Source organism: Homo sapiens, chromosome 22 (assembly GCF_000001405.40).
Source record: "Homo sapiens chromosome 22, GRCh38.p14 Primary Assembly".
In the NCBI taxonomy this organism is placed as follows: Eukaryota; Metazoa; Chordata; class Mammalia; order Primates; family Hominidae; genus Homo; species Homo sapiens.
In genome coordinates, this window is record NC_000022.11 from 22238637 (window position 1) to 22256366 (window position 17730).

At 44.9% G+C, this 17730-nt stretch overlaps 1 protein-coding gene and 1 further gene across 2 annotated transcripts, besides 1 other annotated feature; both read left to right on the forward strand.

Annotated features, from left to right (window-relative positions):
* Positions 1 to 17730, forward strand: part of IGL (immunoglobulin lambda locus) — an 896838-nt gene that overhangs the window by 212561 nt on the left and 666547 nt on the right.
* Positions 6150 to 6879, forward strand: VPREB1 (V-set pre-B cell surrogate light chain 1). 2 transcript variants are annotated; one of them, NM_007128.4, is made up of 2 exons: positions 6150 to 6223; positions 6310 to 6879. In NM_007128.4, exons 1-2 carry the CDS (start codon positions 6178 to 6180, stop codon positions 6699 to 6701), a joined length of 438 nt encoding a protein of 145 aa, NP_009059.1. In that variant the 5' UTR covers positions 6150 to 6177; the 3' UTR covers positions 6702 to 6879. The 2 variants fall into 2 exon arrangements, with proteins under 2 accessions (NP_009059.1, NP_001290438.1); NM_001303509.2 differs by having other exon boundaries at positions 6324 to 6879.
* Positions 16251 to 16545: a silencer, noted in NCBI's record as "tiled region #5890; K562 Repressive DNase matched - State 25:Art". NCBI's record gives its function as "represses a minimal TATA promoter and a strong SV40 promoter by Sharpr-MPRA in K562 cells {active_cell/tissue: K562}" and the evidence as "EXISTENCE:reporter gene assay evidence [ECO:0000049][PMID:27701403]".

A 17730-nucleotide genomic window follows, 5' to 3' on the forward strand; every position in this document is an offset into this window, starting at 1 on the left:
TTTTTAGTAGCTCTTGTTAGAGGTCATGTAGGAGATTGTCTCAGCTTGAGCTGCTATTGTAAATACCGATACTGTAGACTGGGTGGCTTGAAAACACCAGAAATGCATTCCTCAGAGTTGTGGAGGCTGGATGTCCAAGATAGGACAGGTCTGAGATCAGGGTGCCAGCATGCTTCAGTTCTGGTAGGAATCCTCTTCCAGGCTACAGACTGCCAACTTCTCGTGTCTTCGTGTGGCAGAAAAAGGGCTAAAAAGATCTCTGGGATTTTTTTTTTTTTTTTTTGAGACAGAGTCTCACTCTGTTGCCCAGGCTGGAGTGTAGTGGTGTGAGTGGCATGATCTTGGTATACTGCAGTCTCCGCCTCCCGGGTTCAGGCAATTTTCGTGTCTCAGCCTCCCGAGTAGCTGGGACTATAGGCGTGTGTGACCATGCCCGACTAATTTTGGTATTTTTAGTAGAGACCGGGTTTCACCATGTTTGCCAGGCTGGTCTTGAACTCTTGGCCTGAAGTCATGTGTCTGCCTTGGCCTCCCAAAGTGCTGGGGTTGCAGGCACGAGCCACCGTGCCCAGCAGGGCCTCTTTTGTAAAGGCACTCATCCCATTCGTGAGGTTCTGCCCTCATGACCTAATTACCTCCTACAGGTCCCATGTCTGAGCACCATCACACTGGCATTTAGGATTTCAGCTTATGAATTTTGGGAGGACACAAACATTCAGTTCATAACAGCATTGTGTTGTCACCCACTTTTTTTTTTTTGGTAGGAACAGTGTGTCGAATTCTGGTCTCAAGTGATCCTGCTGCGTCAGCCTCCCAAAGCTTTGGGATTACAGGCACGCACTGCCAAGGCCAGCCACATCCATATTCTTAATCTCCACCATGGCCTCATGAGCCTGGTCCCCTGTCAGTGGGCTAGGGCCTCGACATGGGTAATACGCATATTAGCTGAGGTTCAGGAACCCAACTGACTTGTGTAAGAATTTCCAGCTGGCCCCGCAGAACAAGAGGCTAAAGAGTGGGGAGCAGTGCTAGTGTTGCCACTGCTACAGCTCTCGGGCAGTATTCACTACCCTCACCCTGTATGTGTGCCCAGGTGCTGGGTGAGCATTTCACTCCACACGAGAGGCATCATGCATTCCTTCATTCGTTCGTTCATGCCGTTATACTACAGTGAACAATAAACTCTTGAGGAATGTCGGGTTTAGGGGAGCCAGTCCCCTGTTCAGTTGAAAATCTGCCTGGCTATGTATATATTTTGACTCCCCCAAAACTCTTAACTACTAATAGCCTGCTGTTGACTCGAAGCCTTACTGATGATATCAACAGTCAATTAACACATACTTTGAATTTTATACGTATTATGTACTGTATGCATTTTTTTTTCTTTGAGATGGAGTCTCACTATGTGGCCCAGGCTGGAGTGAAGTGGCACCATCTCTGCTCACTGCAACCTCCCAGGTTTAAGTGATTCTCCTGCCTCAGCCTCCCAAGTAGCTGGGATTACAGGCATGTGCCACCAAGCCTGGTTAATTTTTGTATTTTTAGTAGAGATGGGGTTTCACCATGTTGGCCAGGCTAGTCTCAAACTCCTGACCTCAAGTGATCCACCTGCTTCGGCCTCCCAAAGTGCTGGGATTACAGGCGTGAGCCACTGCACCCTTCCTGTACTGTATTCGTATAATAAAGTAAGCTAGAGAAAAGAAAACGTTATTAAGATAATCTTAAGGAAGATAAAATCTATTTACTATTCATTAGGTAGAAACAGATGGATTATCCTACAGGAGGAGGAGGAAGAGGAGGGGGTTGGTTTTACAGTCTCAGGGGCGAAAGAGGCATAAGAAAATCTGCAAATAAGTGGACACACGAAGTTCAAATTCCTGTTGTTCACAGTTAGTGGTACACAGGAGACACTAGGTAAGCTAAAGGTTGGGCTGGGCATGGTGGCTCACACCTGTAATCTCAGCACTGTGGGAGGTCAAGGCGGGAGGATCGCTTGAGGCCAGGAGTTTGAGACCAGCCTGGCCAACATTGTGAAATGCTGTCTCTACTAAAATACAAAAAGTAGCTGGGCATTGTGGCATGTGCCTGTAATCCCAGCTACTTGGGAGGCTGAGGCACAAGAATCACTTGAACCTGGAAGGCAGAGGTTGCAGTGAGCCAAAATAGTGCCACTTCACTCCAGCCTGGGTGACAGAGTGAGACTGTCTCAAAAAAAAACAAACAAACCAAAAAGATTAGCTAAAGGTTGAACTTTCAGTGATGAACTAAACAGAAACAATCTCATAGAGATTGTGGACAGGAGAAGAAACAAGCACAGGTGCAGTTAAAACCTGTGATAAATGCCCCGGCAGAAACAAGTGTTAGGCCAGGCGTGATGGCTCATGTCTGTAATCCCAACACTGTGGGAGGCCAAGACAGGAGGACTGCTTGAGGCCGGGGGTTTCAAGCCTGCAGTGAGCTAAGATTACACCACTGCTCTCCTGCCTGGGCGGTAGAGACCCTGCTTAAGAAAAAAAAAAGAAAGGCTGGGCGCGGTGGCTCACGTCTGTAATCCCAGCACTTTGGGAGGCCGAGGTGGGCTGACTACGAGGTCAGGAGATCGAGACGATCCTGGCTAACACAGTGAAACCCCGTCTCTACTAAAAATACAAAAAAAAATTAGCAGGGTGTGGTGGCGGGCGCCTGTAGTCCCAGCTACTCGGGAGGCTGAAGCAGGAGAATGGCGTGAACTTGGGAGGTGGAGCTTGCAGTGAGCTGAGATTGCGCCACTGCACTCCAGCCTCGGTGACAGAGCAAGACTCTGTCTCAAAAAACGAACAAACAAAAAAACAAAACAAAACAAAACAAAAACCTAAACCAAAACCAAAACGCAGCATAGTCCATGAGAGAGGAAGAGCAGGGCAGGCCTACTCACCTGGGGCTGTCGGGGAGGCTGCCCAGGAAGGGACTCTGAAGTGAGCACCTGGAGGAAGGAGGTTAGTTCTGAGGGACTGGAATTCATCCTGGCATTGGGATCACGGGCAAAGGTCCTGTGGTGACAAGGAGACTGGTGCGAGCCTGGCTTAGCACCATGTGAGAGCAGAGGGGTGGAAAGGCACTAGGTAAGCATGCCTTCGGATGTGAAATGAGGGAGACGGGGACTGGGGGACCCTGACATGAGGGAGGAGGAAAGGAGATGGGACGAATGGGTGACCAGAGGGACCACTAGACCACCGAGGGTGAGAGCTTGCTAATATCAGAGCCATGTGTAGGAGAATGAAGTGCAATCTTGGATAGACCTCCAGTGCAGGTGGTCCAGCCATCAATGACCATAACCACATGCATGATTGTAGGTGGAACCAGAAGAACCACCCAGGCAACTCACAGAACTGGGGAACTAATCAAGTCTTGTTTTAAATGACTACATTACGGGTGGTTTGCCACGTAGCAGTGGATCGCTGAAACAGTTTAAAATATCTATTCAGCCGGGCGTGCGGTGGGTAGCTCACACCTGTAATCCCAGCATTTTAGGAAGCTGAGGCAGGAGGATCTCTCGAACGCAGGAATTTGAGACCAGCCTTGAGCAAAATGGCAAGACCCTGTCTCCACAAAAAGTAAAAAAAATTAGCTGGGTGTGGTAGCATGTGCTTGTAGTCCCAGCTACTTGGGAGGCTGGGACAGGAGAATTGTTTGAGCCCAGGAGTTCGAGGCTGCAGTGAGCTGTGACTGCACCGCTACACTCCAGCCTGGACAACAGAGTGAAACCTTGTCTCTAAAAAAAAAAAAAAATCTACAAACCAGGCAGGAGCACTGAATAGCTCCTGTCTCCCCTGAGACCCTTGTAGACCTTGAGGTCTGTTACAGAGCTCACCAACCTTCTCTTGGTCTAGAATTATCTAAAAAGAGTTGAGTGCAGCCAGAAAGGACTGAATACATGGTGTTCTTCAATCCCATCAAACTGCTGTGCCCTGCAGATGATCCCTGAGTCCAGGTGTTGGTGGGTTGAGGACAAGGCTGAGGGAACAGAGGTGGGAAGAGTGGCCCAGGGCCAGGAGAATGCAGAGTTCAGAGTGCATGACCTGCATCTAACTCTAGATGCTCCAGGGGTCTGAGACCATCTCCAGCAGGGTCTGGAAGGCCCAGTCATTCCCCAGCACGCACAGTCACCACTGGATACTATCTTGCTCTGTGAGTGATGCAAAGGTCCTGGGTCAGTGAAGCCTGTGAAAGAAAGTTGGGACCAGAGTGTCTCTACGGTTGAGGGCTGGGCTTATTTGCTCTCTAAGTATAATTGTAAGAGCAAGTAGAAACACCTATCCTCTCTGAGCTTAAAAGGATCAAAAAGCTCTGACAGTGTCAGTGGTAGGGCTAGTTCAGGGACTGCAGTAGTGCTGGTGCCCACAGGTGGAACCTTCTCCTGCCCTGATTCCCAAGGACTGGTGCTCTCGGAGGGGTCTGGGAGGTATATTTCTCTTTCACAAATACGTGCACAACACATGAATGAGCTACTGGATGAGGGAATAAATGAATGAATGAGTGAAAAAAGCTTCCTTTCTCCTCTCCAGGAGTCAGCAGTCACTGGTTAGTTCCCCACTGCCCACCAGCCTGTGCAGAGGAGGGAGGAGCAACAGGTCATAGATGTGGTTGCAGCTGTTACTGGACAGAGTGGTCAAGACATCCTGTGTCTGCAGAGGCCCTCCCCAGCCCTCACCTGGGCAGTGGAGCTGTTGGCCAGAGAGGCAGTGGGAAGAAGGGTGGGGCTCCCAGAGTCGACCCTGCGGGCTGAAACTGGTGCAGCCTGCACCTCACCAGGCAGAGAATGGATGTGGGGCAGCTTGACACCGAGCAGGGGCTCATCTGAGCCTCAGGGGTGGTTGCTCTATCAAAGTGTTTGCAAGTAAACAGTCCCAGTGCACACCCAGCTGCTCAGTGCCACCTCGTGCACCCAGGGACACTTCAGCCTTGATCACAGGCCTGCACAGGTTCCAGGGGAGGAGACACTCCAGCTTTTTGAGGGAGGGTGAGCATGTGGGATCAGAGACTTTAAGTCCAAATTTCCCCTTAATTTTTTTTTAAATCTTGCAGGTAGTATGCAAACATACATTTAATGTATTATTTTTATTCTCATTTTTTTTTTGAGGCAGGGTCTCCCTCTGTTGGCCAGGCTGGAGGGCAGTGGTGAGATCTTGGCTTGCTGCAGCCTCAACTCAACCTCCCAAGCTCAAGTGATTTTCCCACCTCAGCCTCCCAAGTAGTTGGGACTGCAGGTGCCTGTCCGCCATGACCAGCTAATTTTTAAATTTTTTTTGTAGAGATGGGGTTTTGCCATGTTGCTCAGGCTAGACTCGAACTCCTGAGCTCAAGTGATCCTCCCACCTTGGCCTCCCAAAGTGCTGGGATTATAGGTGTGAGACACTGCATCCGGCTCCCAAATTTCCCCTTTTTATAAGGACACCAGTTGTACTGACCGGGGCCCCACCTCTATGACCTCATCTAACCTTCATTAACTCCTTAAAGGCCCTATCTCCAAATACAGGCACACTGGGGGTTAGGGCTTCAACCTATGGATTTGGGGGATGCAATTCAGTCTATCACAGTGCCAAGCTGCACCTGCTCGGTGAGCCAGAACAGGGGTGGGGAAGGCACCAGGCCCTGGTGCTTCTTTCCCATGCCTGAGTCACTCTACTTGGTTCTAGTAGGGAGAGGAGCATGGGCCGAAGGCAGTGCTGCAACATGGAAGGGGCAGAACATCCCAACCCGCTCTGGGCCCCCAGTGTCTTCTGCTGTACAAAGCAGGTGTTTTCACCCCCCGAGGATGTGTCCTCCCTTCCTGGCTCACCAAGCATTTAAATGTAGACAGAAAATTTATTTATCTGGGGTGCGGTTTCCTCAGGGGGAAGTTGAGGTCACGACCCCTGAGGTACCTTAACCCAAAGGCCTCCAGGGCACTGGCCCCAGAGTCTCCAGCAGGTGCTTCCTCCCTGAATGCTTCCATATGGCAAGATCAGAGCCACAAATGCTGCCCCGACGCTGTTCCGGTAACCGACGTTGCAGACCCAAGAAAGTCTGGGATGGTAGTGGCCAGGAACGGGGTGTGCCACGGCCCCACCTCTCAGAGCAGGGAGGAGGATGCTGGGCCAGCCCTTGGGGACCCCAGGCACCGTGGCCACAGGAGTCAGAGCTCTGCATGTCTGCACCATGTCCTGGGCTCCTGTCCTGCTCATGCTGTTTGTCTACTGCACAGGTGAGGGAACCCCCAGATCCCAAAGACTCCTGCCCCTTCCTTCATCCTGCCCTGCCCCCACGGCCCACATGCATCTGTGTCACCAGGTTGTGGTCCTCAGCCGGTGCTGCATCAGCCGCCGGCCATGTCCTCGGCCCTTGGAACCACAATCCGCCTCACCTGCACCCTGAGGAACGACCATGACATCGGTGTGTACAGCGTCTACTGGTACCAGCAGAGGCCGGGCCACCCTCCCAGGTTCCTGCTGAGATATTTCTCACAATCAGACAAGAGCCAGGGCCCCCAGGTCCCCCCTCGCTTCTCTGGATCCAAAGATGTGGCCAGGAACAGGGGGTATTTGAGCATCTCTGAGCTGCAGCCTGAGGACGAGGCTATGTATTACTGTGCTATGGGGGCCCGCAGCTCGGAGAAGGAGGAGAGGGAGAGGGAGTGGGAGGAAGAAATGGAACCCACTGCAGCCAGGACACGTGTCCCTTGAACTGAAGACAGCAGAGGCACGCATCCCCTTGGAGAGACTGTCATGGAAGAGGGTGGAGTCGCCGCCCGAAGCGCCGAGGAGGCTGAGCCACTCAGCATCTCCTGGTCCTGCAGTGTTGCTGTAAATCCCCATTGGAGACTGCATTAGGGAATTAAAGCTGCTTGTCACTTTTTGCTGAGTTTGGTCTGACTGTTGTGCGACTTCGTAGTACCAGCCTTGGGCAAAGGCCCGGGGCCCCGGGAGACTGGCAGATCACTGTGGTGAGCACTCACCTGAGTCCTTACTTTTGTGGGCCATGGGAGGCAAGGGGTTGACCGAAGCACCCTGGAGGGGCATCCATGCCCAGGACAGGACCCTCTGGTGTCATCTGATTCTGCCCAGCGGTTACAGGGCAAACAAGCTTAGAAAGCACCTGGTCTGGGCCTCCAGGGAGAACAGGAGCCAGGTAATAGGCCTAGAGTGGGTTCTCCACCTTGGTCCTATCGACGTTTTGGGCTGGACAGTTCTTGGTTGTGGGGCTGTCCTGCGGATTGTTGAATGGTGAGTGGTTATCTGTGGCCTCTACCCACCAGATGCCCCTTCCCAGTTGTGACAAACAAAAATGTCTCCAGACATTGCCAAATGTCCCCAGGTGGTAAACTCACACTGATTGTGAACCACTGGTCTAGATGAGCAAGTAAATGCATTTACTTATTTGTACAAGAGAGTGGCAGGTGTCGGCAAACATGTTCTTTTTTTCCTTTTTTTAGGGATAAAGTCTTGCTCTGTGGTCCAGGCTGGAGTGCAGTGGTGCAATCATAGCTCACCGCAGCTTCAAACTCCCAGGCTCAAGTGATTGTCCTGTCTCAGCCTCCTGAGCAGCTGAGACTACAGGCGTGCATCACCATGCTTGGCTATTTATTTAGTTTTATTTTTGGAGAGATGAATGTCTCACTATGTTGCTCAAGCTGATCTCAAACTCCTGAGCTCGAGTGATCCCCCTGCTTGGGCCTCCTAAAGTGCTGGGATTAGAGGCGTGAGCCACTGCACCCAGCCCATTTTCTATAAAGAGCCAGGTGGTAAATATTTTTGGCTTTGTGGGCTATGCGATCTCTGTCACAACTGTTCAATTCTGTCCTAGTAGCAAGAAAGCAGCCACAGACAAACATGTCAACAAAGAGGCATGGCTGTGTTCTTATAAAGCTGTATTTACAGAAACAGATGGGGCTACACTGGGCTGGGTATGGCGCCCAGGCTGTAGTTTGCTGAGCCCTGCTCGGGAGCACTCCAGCTCCTGTCTCCAGGTTTTAAGCAAGCCATGCTTGGTGGGATAATCAGAGTCCCCCCTCAACTTATCTTGCCTGTGACCCCAGGCAGAAGCCTCTGGACCCATGGAGATACCTAGAGGCATGAAGGACGTGGTCTCACTGAGACTGTGTTGGACTGTCTGGGTGAAGTAGCAATGGGGAGCTCCCTGCAGCCCCGGCCCACAGCAAGGCCCCCTGAGCCCGTGGGTGGTGGGTCTGAGTGTGCCTTGCGGAGAGGGACTCTCTACATTGGGTGTTCACACAACCTGTAGACATGCCTCACTCAGAGAGGTGCCGGGCAAACCATCTCCCTTGTAACCCCAACTTGCCTGGGAACGTGCATTCACCCCAGCTAAAAAGATCCTGAGGCATCTCCCCAGAGAGGTGGACACATGTCAGTATCAGCGTTCCATGTGTGGTCATGAGTCCCTCTCTTGTTAAACAGTGGTCTCCAGCACTTTGGGAGGCCGAGGCGGGTGGATCACCTGAGGTCAGGAGTTAGAGACCAGCCTACCCAACATGGTGAAATCTCATCTCTACTAAAAATACAAAAATTAGCTGGGTGTGTTGGCACATGCCCGTAATCCCAGCTACTTGGGAGGCTGAGGCAGGAGAATTGCTTGAACCCAGGAGGCAGAGGTTGCAGTGAGCCGAGATCATGCCACTGCACTCCAGCCTGGGTGACAGAGCGAGACTCCATCTCACAAAAAAAAAAAAAAAAAAAAAAAGAGACAGTGATCTCAGCTTATGCCATACTCTATGCACTGGGTTCTTCCTGCATCAGGCTTTTACCCCTGGGCCAGGCCCACATTTTAAAACATTATTATTTACTTGTTTATTATTTTATTTTAGAGATAGGATCTTGCTATGCTGCCCAGGCTGGACTGCTGTGGCTATTCACAGGTTCAATTCATGATGCTCTACAGCCTTGAACTCCTGGGCTCCAGCGATCCTCCTGTCTCAGCCTGCTGAGTGGCTGAACTACACGTGTGAGTCACTGCACCTGGCCATGGCCCACAGTTTTAAAGACCAGCTAGATGGTTCCAGAGGAACTCTGTCTTCTGCTTGTAACCCGTCCCTCTCTTGCCTCCATCCTTCATGATTCTGGGATTCCATGCTATGAGAAGAGATCTAGAAAGCCGGGAGCTGAGTTGGACTCCTGTATCATCCTCATGCCCCCACCCCACCAGCTCAATGGAAAATGAGACCTGGAACTCAGGCTTGAGGCCAGACTGAGTGTGAGTCTTAGCTCTGGAGGAGTCACTTAAAATCTAAGCCAACATTTCCAATGTTGCATGTAAAGGGGATAATCATAGAACTGATTAACTTATATAAAAAGTTTTTATCTGGCCAGGCGTGGTGGCTCATGCCTGTAATCCCAGCACTTTGGGAGGCCGAGGCGGGCAGATCACCTAAGGTCAGGAGTTTGAGGCCATCCTGGGCAACATGGTGAAACCCCGTCTCTACCAAAAATACAAAAATTAGCTGGGCATGGTGGCGGGTGCCTCTGATCCCAGCTACTTGGGAGGCTAAGGCAGAAGAATTGCTTGAACCTGGGAGGCGGAGGTTGTAGTGAACCGAAATCGCACCACATCACTCCAGCCTGGGTGACAGAGCAAGACTGTCTCTCAAAAACAAACAAACAAACAAACAAAAAGGTTTTATCCATCATGAGTGCTCAACAAAATAATAGTATCATGATTTCCCCATCAGTCACCTGCCTGGCCTTCCCTCTTGTCAAATCCTTTCCTTTAGTCTGAGTCATTTCTCACCTTGACCATTATCTGGTCTCCTTCCCATCCATCCTCCTGCTGCATGCAGTCTATACCCACCACTCCTCATCTTTGTTGCTCCTAGATCCAGCCTTGCATGCATTCCTCCTCTCTAACCCTTTATTGTCTCCCACACTCTAAAGAACATATGCAAGCCACATCTGTAATTTCCAATTTTCTAGTGGCTACATTATTTTTAAACAGTAAAAACAAATAGGTGAAATGATTTTTTAATGATATATTCTATTTAACATAATAAATCCCCAATATTACCAATTCAACCTATAATCAATATAAAAATTAGTTACTAGATAGTTTAAACTTGTTTTTCTTTTGTATTCACACTTCAAAATCTGGTATGTATTTTATATTCATGTCTTGGATAATTTGCTCAAGTGGATAATCTGGTCAGCCAAGTGGTCAAGAGCTACATATGCCTTGTGAAGAGACCACTTTGGTTGAGGGGATGCAATTCAGCCTCCTTCCCATGACACAGCCTTTGAAGGCTGGCTCAGGCTTGGTCCCAAGTCCCATTTCTTGTGCACCCTCTCTCCCTGTTTCTGCCATGTTAAGCCAACTGCAACTGATCAAACACCCGAGTCTCTTGGTTGCTTCTAAACCTTTGCCCAAGCTGTTTACTGCCAGGACTTCCTGTCCCTTTGTTGTGGCCTCCATCTGGCTGCACTGACTCGGGGCTCCACAACTGTCTCAAATCTCACTCCTTGGGCAAGACTTCCCCGAGCTCTTCATGCAGTTATTAACTTCCTCCACTGTGCAAACAGCATGTTTTCCTAACTATATTTAGCTTCTACTGCACAGTTATAAATTTATTTAGCAAAGCTCCCTCCCCTACTAATCTGCAGATTCTCAGTGGGCAGGATCTACTCAACCCATTGATGTGCCTGATAAACACTTGGCAATTAGACAGTTGAATGAACAAATGAATGAATGTGTAACTGAATGAATTTTCGGGTTCCAAGGACCCTGACATTCTGGGATCCCATTAGGTGGCTGGGGTCACCACCTTAGAGAATTGTGATTCCCTAAGAAGGGAGAACCAGCCCAGACCTTCTCGATCATATTAGTGACTGGCCACATTTCCTCTCCTTTCCGATTCTCTCTCTCCCCCACACCCTTACTGCATGACAGTGATGAGAAAATCCACTTGATCAACCAAACTACAACTTTCGGCCTCATCCCTATCCCTCCCTTGCCTTCTGACCAGGGCCACAGTCACCCTGTGGGTTCTTCCTTTTGAGTGTCTCTCACTCCCTTCCTCCTCCATATCTCTGAGACCAGCCTCCAGCCCTGCTGGCCTGCTCTGCTGCCTTCTGGCTCTTTGTTGAACCCAAGACCAGGGTTTATATATGTTAAATATAAATATATTTTTCCATATGAAATGTAAACATATTTTAAACATTAAATATAAATATACATCTTAGATATGGCCTGTGTTGGAATGTGTAATAGATTGAGTATATAATGTCTATTCAATATAAAATTTATATTTATATATGCAGTAATGATTCAGGTTGATTGTAGTTAAGAAAAACAAGCTCCAAATTCGAGAGAAATATGTAAGAAGAGAGACAGGAAGAAAAAATAATGAGGCAGGTAAATGCAACAGACAATTCGAGACCCACAAGTGCAGAGCAGGCTTCCCAGACCCGGATAATGTCTCCTGGGCTGATAGGAAGCCCTCAACCCCCCAAGTCCTTCTCAGCCATAAACCGCCTGAGCACAGAGCCACAGGGACCGTGTTGGGGCTGGGCCTCTCGACTTTAGTTCCTCTCATTCTGTGCAAAAGGAAAAACAATTCAGAATCTACAGAGGTTTAGATGTGTGTAGATGTGGACAGAGAAGTCCTGGCACGGTGGTTCACTGCCCAAGAAGACAGTGAGTCCCTGGAGGGATAGAAGAATATACATCATGCTAATATATGTCATCCCAGTACTTTGGGAGGCCGAGGCGGGTGGATCACTTGAGGTCAAGAGTTCGAGACCAGCCTGGCCAACATGGTGAATCCCCGTCTCTACTAAAAATACAGAAATTAGTTGGCTGTGGGGGTCGATGCCTGTGATCCCAGATACTCGGGAGGCAGAGGCAGGACGAACTGCTTGAACCTGGGAGGAGGAGGTTGCAGTGAGCTGAGATCACGCCATTGTACTCCAGCCTGGGGGACAGAGCAAGATCCCATCTCAAAGAAAAAAGAAAAAGAAGTTGTGAGTGCTAAGTTCTCTCTGGATTTTCAGGAGGCCAGTTCTCCAGTCCACAGTGGCCTGGGAGGACAGGGGTTCCTGAGGGTGAACAGAGCCTGTGCCCGGTCAGGTAGGATCGCATGTCCCTGAGGTTCAGAACCCAGGAGCATGGGGAGGGTCCAGGGGGTTCCTGCTGCATGGAGGGAAGACCCTCTTTCCACAGGGGCCCCGGAGAGCGAGAGGAAGGAGGAGGGCAGGTCAGTGAGTGTGACGGGGTCACAGTGGAGAGGGAAGCAGAAAGAAGTGTCCCCACAACAAGACACACACAGTGTCTACGCTGAAGCTACAGAGAGGGCCTCTCCACCTGTGTCTGCCGCAAAGCAGTGGGGCGTCTTCTGGCAGCCCAGAGTCACCTCCAGATCCCACCTGCACCATGCTTCCTGCAGGGACTGCCTGTCTTCCTAATACACTGTCTTCTGACCAGAGTCTTCCAGACAAATCACTGGTTGCTATATATATGTATATTTTTTTAATAGCTAATATCTTACACTGATATATTTATATTATATATAAATATTTTTGTACTTTATGTTTAGGCTATATTACAGATGTAGTTAGTTAGCTATTTATGTTATATATAATATAAACATGATGTAGATTCTTATATTTCTCTGGGGACTCACTGTCTTCTTAATACACTGTCTTCTGACCAAATTCTTCCAGACAAATCAGCTGTTGCTATATATATATATATATATATATATATGTGCTATATATATATGTGCTATATATTTTATTGCATAGAATATATTATATATTAATTATATAATATACATTATATATTACATATTATATATAATATACATTATATATTACATATTATATATAATATATTATATTATTATGCTATATCTTATATATTATATATGTTATATATGTATATATATTATATATACACATACATACACTCATGTATATTTTAATAGCTAATATCTTACACTGGTATATTTATATTACATATGATTATATACAAATATTTTTGTACTTTATGTTTATGCTATATATACAGATGTAATTAGTTGTTTATGTTATATGTAATATAAACATGATGTATATTCTTATTTTCCTGTGAGGACCCACTGTCTTCTTAATACACTGTCTTCTGACCAATGTCTTCCACACAAATCAGCTGTTACTATATATATATATAATATTTATATACACATATACACATACATACACACATATGTATATTTTAATAGCTAATATCTTACACTGATATATTTATATTACATATAGTTATATACTAATATTTTTGTACTTTATGTTTATACTATATATACAGATGTCGTTAGGTATTTATGTTATATATAATATATTAACATGATGTATATTCTTATATTCTTCTGGGGACTCACTGTCTTCTTAATACACTGTCTTCTGACCAGAATATTCCAGACAAATCACTGGTTGCTATATATATATTTTTAATAGCTAATATCTTACACTGATGTATTTATATTACATATAGTTATATACAAATATTTTTGTACTTTTGTTTATACTATATATACAGATGTAGTTAGCTATTTATGTTATATATAATATATCAACATGATGTATATTCTTATATTCCTCTGGGGACTCACAGTCTTCTTAATACACTGTCTTCTGACCAAACTCTTCCAGACAAATCAGCTGTTGCAATATATATATATATATTTATTTTTTAATAGCTAGTATCTTACACTGTGGCTCATGCCTGTAATCCCAGCACTTTGGGAGGCCAAGGCAGGTGGATCACCTGAGGTCAGGAGTTTGAGACCATCCTGGCTAACACAGTGAAACTGCATCTCTACTAAAAATACAAAAATTGATTGGGTGTGGTGGTGCATGCCTGTAATCCCAGCTACTCGGGAGGCTGAGGCAGGAGAATCGCTTGAACCCAGGAGGCAGACGTTGCAGTGAGCCAAGATCGTGTCGCTGCACTCCAGCCTGGGCAACAGAGTGAGACTCCATCTCACACACACAAAACATCTTACACTGATGTATTTACATTACGTGTAGCTGTATATAAATATTTTTGTACTTACATTCTGTGTACTTATATTCTATATATTATAAAACATTATATAAAATTATACATGTATAATAAAATGTTACATAAAAATTTTAATATAATACCATTTTACTACATATATTTCTAAATTTAATATAATGAAATTTTATATATAATAGTGTATAACATTTCTAAACTTATTATAATACAATGATATATAATTATTTTCTCATATTATAATTATACATAAGGTAATTTATTGTAAATAAAATTTTATATAATCTACGTTTATTATAATAAAATTTTATTACATATAACACATTTCTAAATTTAATACAATAAAATACTATGTATAATAATTTATAACATTTCAAAATTTATTATATAATTTTATTATACAATTATTTTATACATAATTATATATAGTATATAATTGTATTGATAGAAATATAATTATGCATATACAATATGTAATTTTATTTTTACATAGTATATATACATAATTATGTATTAACAAATATAATATCAATTTTATATACTTATTTACATTAAGTTATATATTATATAAATGATGTTATATGTTATATGTTACATATATTTTTGCTTAATATATTAAATTTAATCTATAAAATTATGTATTACAAATAAAAGTGTATTTTACATATACACTACATATAACTTTATATAAAAATATAAAAGTCATATGGTTAAGTTAATAAAATATATTTATATCAATCTATTCATATAAAATATACACAATGCATATTTATATAAATACAAAGTATATAAAACTTTTACCAGTAGGATGCAAAGAGTTGCTGACCGTCTGCAGAAATCCTGAACCTCTGGAAGCAGAATAAAATCTTACCTCCCAGTCTGCTTTGAAAGGAACAGTAAAGCAGTCCCGAACCCCAAACCCACCCTAAGGGGAGATGGGGGAGTTGGGATGGACGCGTTGACCAGTGAGGACTTTCCTTTGCTGGTTTTGAGGTGTCTTAGCCCAGAAGCTAAGACGGGAAGTGATTCTGGAGCAGGTGAGCTGATCACAAGCCTGAGCCAAGAATCCATGGAGCTCATAAATAGCAGAAGCCGGGACCCTGTGCAAATCCTTCTGAAATATCCCCCGTTTACTGGGCTCTTAGGGGTGGGGAAGAAAAATTCCCTGACATTTCGGCCTCAGGGAAAGAGAGAGAGACCCCACTGGCCGGAAGCCTCTGCTATTTTTCAGAAGACAGCTGGGGCATCACTCTTTCCCAAATGACGGTGATTTTCAGAGTGGTTCACTTTTTGGAGAGACATTTCTGCCCTGGAGATCCATACATATTGAACCCAAACGAATATTTTTTAATTAAAAAAAATTAAACATTAGAAAGTTCAATATTGAGGCAGCTACGAGTTTGAATTCCTCATTTTTCCTAGATGCATGTTGTCAAAATCTGTATTGCATTTAGTAACTACTTATGTGTCTAATGTATATAAGGTTACACAATGTTTTTTTCTGCTCCTCAGGGTCAGAATTTGAAATAAAAGTTTTGGAAAGAAAAAACACTCTTGTCTGTTTGTGCAAAAATAAAAGAACCCATATTTTAAGAATATTTTAAAATAAATACAAATTTTGTGTGGGAGGGTTGCTTATAAGAATTCTTCATATCCTAAATCAAAGACAGATCTTGTTATTAACCAGGAAACAAAATGTGTGTGTATAAATGTACAACACTCTTACACTCACACAAACACAGGCACACACACACATTCACGCACTCACTGATGTACTCACACAAACACAGGCATTCATGTATAAATACACACATAAGCGTGTATTTATAGAAATATAATTACACACATACAATATATAATTTTATTTTTACATAGTATATACACATCATTATGTATTAACAAATATAATAAGATCAATTTTATTATATACTTATTTACATAAAGTTATATATTATATAAATGATGTTATATGGCATGTATATATCACATATAACTTTGCTTAGTATATAAAATTTAATCTATAAAATTATGTATTACAAATAAAAGTATATTTTACATATAAACTATATATAACTTTATTTATATGAACTATAAAAATCATATGTTTATAATAAAATATATTTATTTATATCAATATATTAATATAAAGTATACACAATGTATATTTATACAAAAATTTTTAATTAAAAAATATTCATTTGGGTTCAATATGTATGGATCGCCAGGGCAGAAACGTCTCTTCAAAAGGTGAACCGTTCTCAAAATCACCGTCACTTGGGAAAGAGTGATGCCCCACCTGTTTTCTGAGAAACAGCAGAGGCCAGTGGGGTGTCTCTCTCTTTCTCTGAGGCCGAAATGTCAGGGAATTTTTCTTCCCCACCCCTAGGAGCTCTGTAAACCGGGGATATTTTAGAAGGATTTGCACAGGGTCCCGGCTTCTGTTGTAAATGAGCTCCGTGGATTCTCGGCTCAGGCTTGTGATCAGCTCACCTGCTCCAGAATCACTGACACAAATGCAACCACACACTTACACAAACACACATCAACACCAAGACAGACAGAAGCACAAAACAAACTCATAGAAACACATGGACACACAAAGACATGCACACTCACACAAACGCAGGGACACACACACAAACACAATTACAAAAATGTGTGGGTTTTTTTGCACACGTGGGTGCACATGCACATTGACATGCTCACAAAGCACACAAACACGTATACATACAAAGACACTCATAAACAGAATCATGAAAACACTCTCATATAAACACATGGATGGCTACTCACCCACATAGACACTCACATATGTCACACGCACTCATACACACACTCAGAATCACACAAGCACACACAAACACACAAATACAGTCACACACTCATGCAAACACAGTCACAAAAAGACTCACATAATCATGTGGACACACAAACATAAAAATTCACACACTGGGGCCGGGCAAGGTGGCTCACGCCTGTACTCCCAGAACTTTGGGAGGCCGAGGCGGGCAGATAACTTGAGGTCGGGAGTTCCAGACCAGCCTGGCCAACATGGTGAAACCCCGTCTCTACTCAAAAATACAAAAATTAGCCAGATGTGGTGGCGTATACCTGTAATCCCAGCTACTCAGGAGGCTGAGGCAGGAGAATCATTTGAACCCGGGAGGCAGAGGTTGCAGTGAGCCAAGATCACGCCACTGCACTCCAGCCTGGGCGACAGAGCGAGACTCCGTATCAAAAAAGAAAAATTAGCCAGATGTGGTGGTGGGTGCCTGTAATCCCAGTTACTCAGGAGGCTGAGGCAGAAGAATCTTTTGAACCTGGGAGGCGGAGGTTGCTTTGAGCTGAGATTGTGCCTTTGCACTCCAGTATGGGTGACAGAGCGAGACTCCATCTCAAAAAAACAAAAAAAAAAAGAATTTATACATTGCCATACAGATTCACAGACATACACTCATATTCACAAACACACAAATACGATAAACGCAGGGGCACACACAAACACCATCACAAAAACACACTTCCATAAAACACAGGAATGCACGCTCACACAGAAACACGCATGGAAACACACGTTATCTTACAGATTCACAGACACACTCATCATCACATAAACAGGCACACACACACACAGCCACACAAGCACACACCCACACCCACATCAACACACACACTCCCACACGGCACCCACGCGCTCACGCACATAGGTAGAACAGG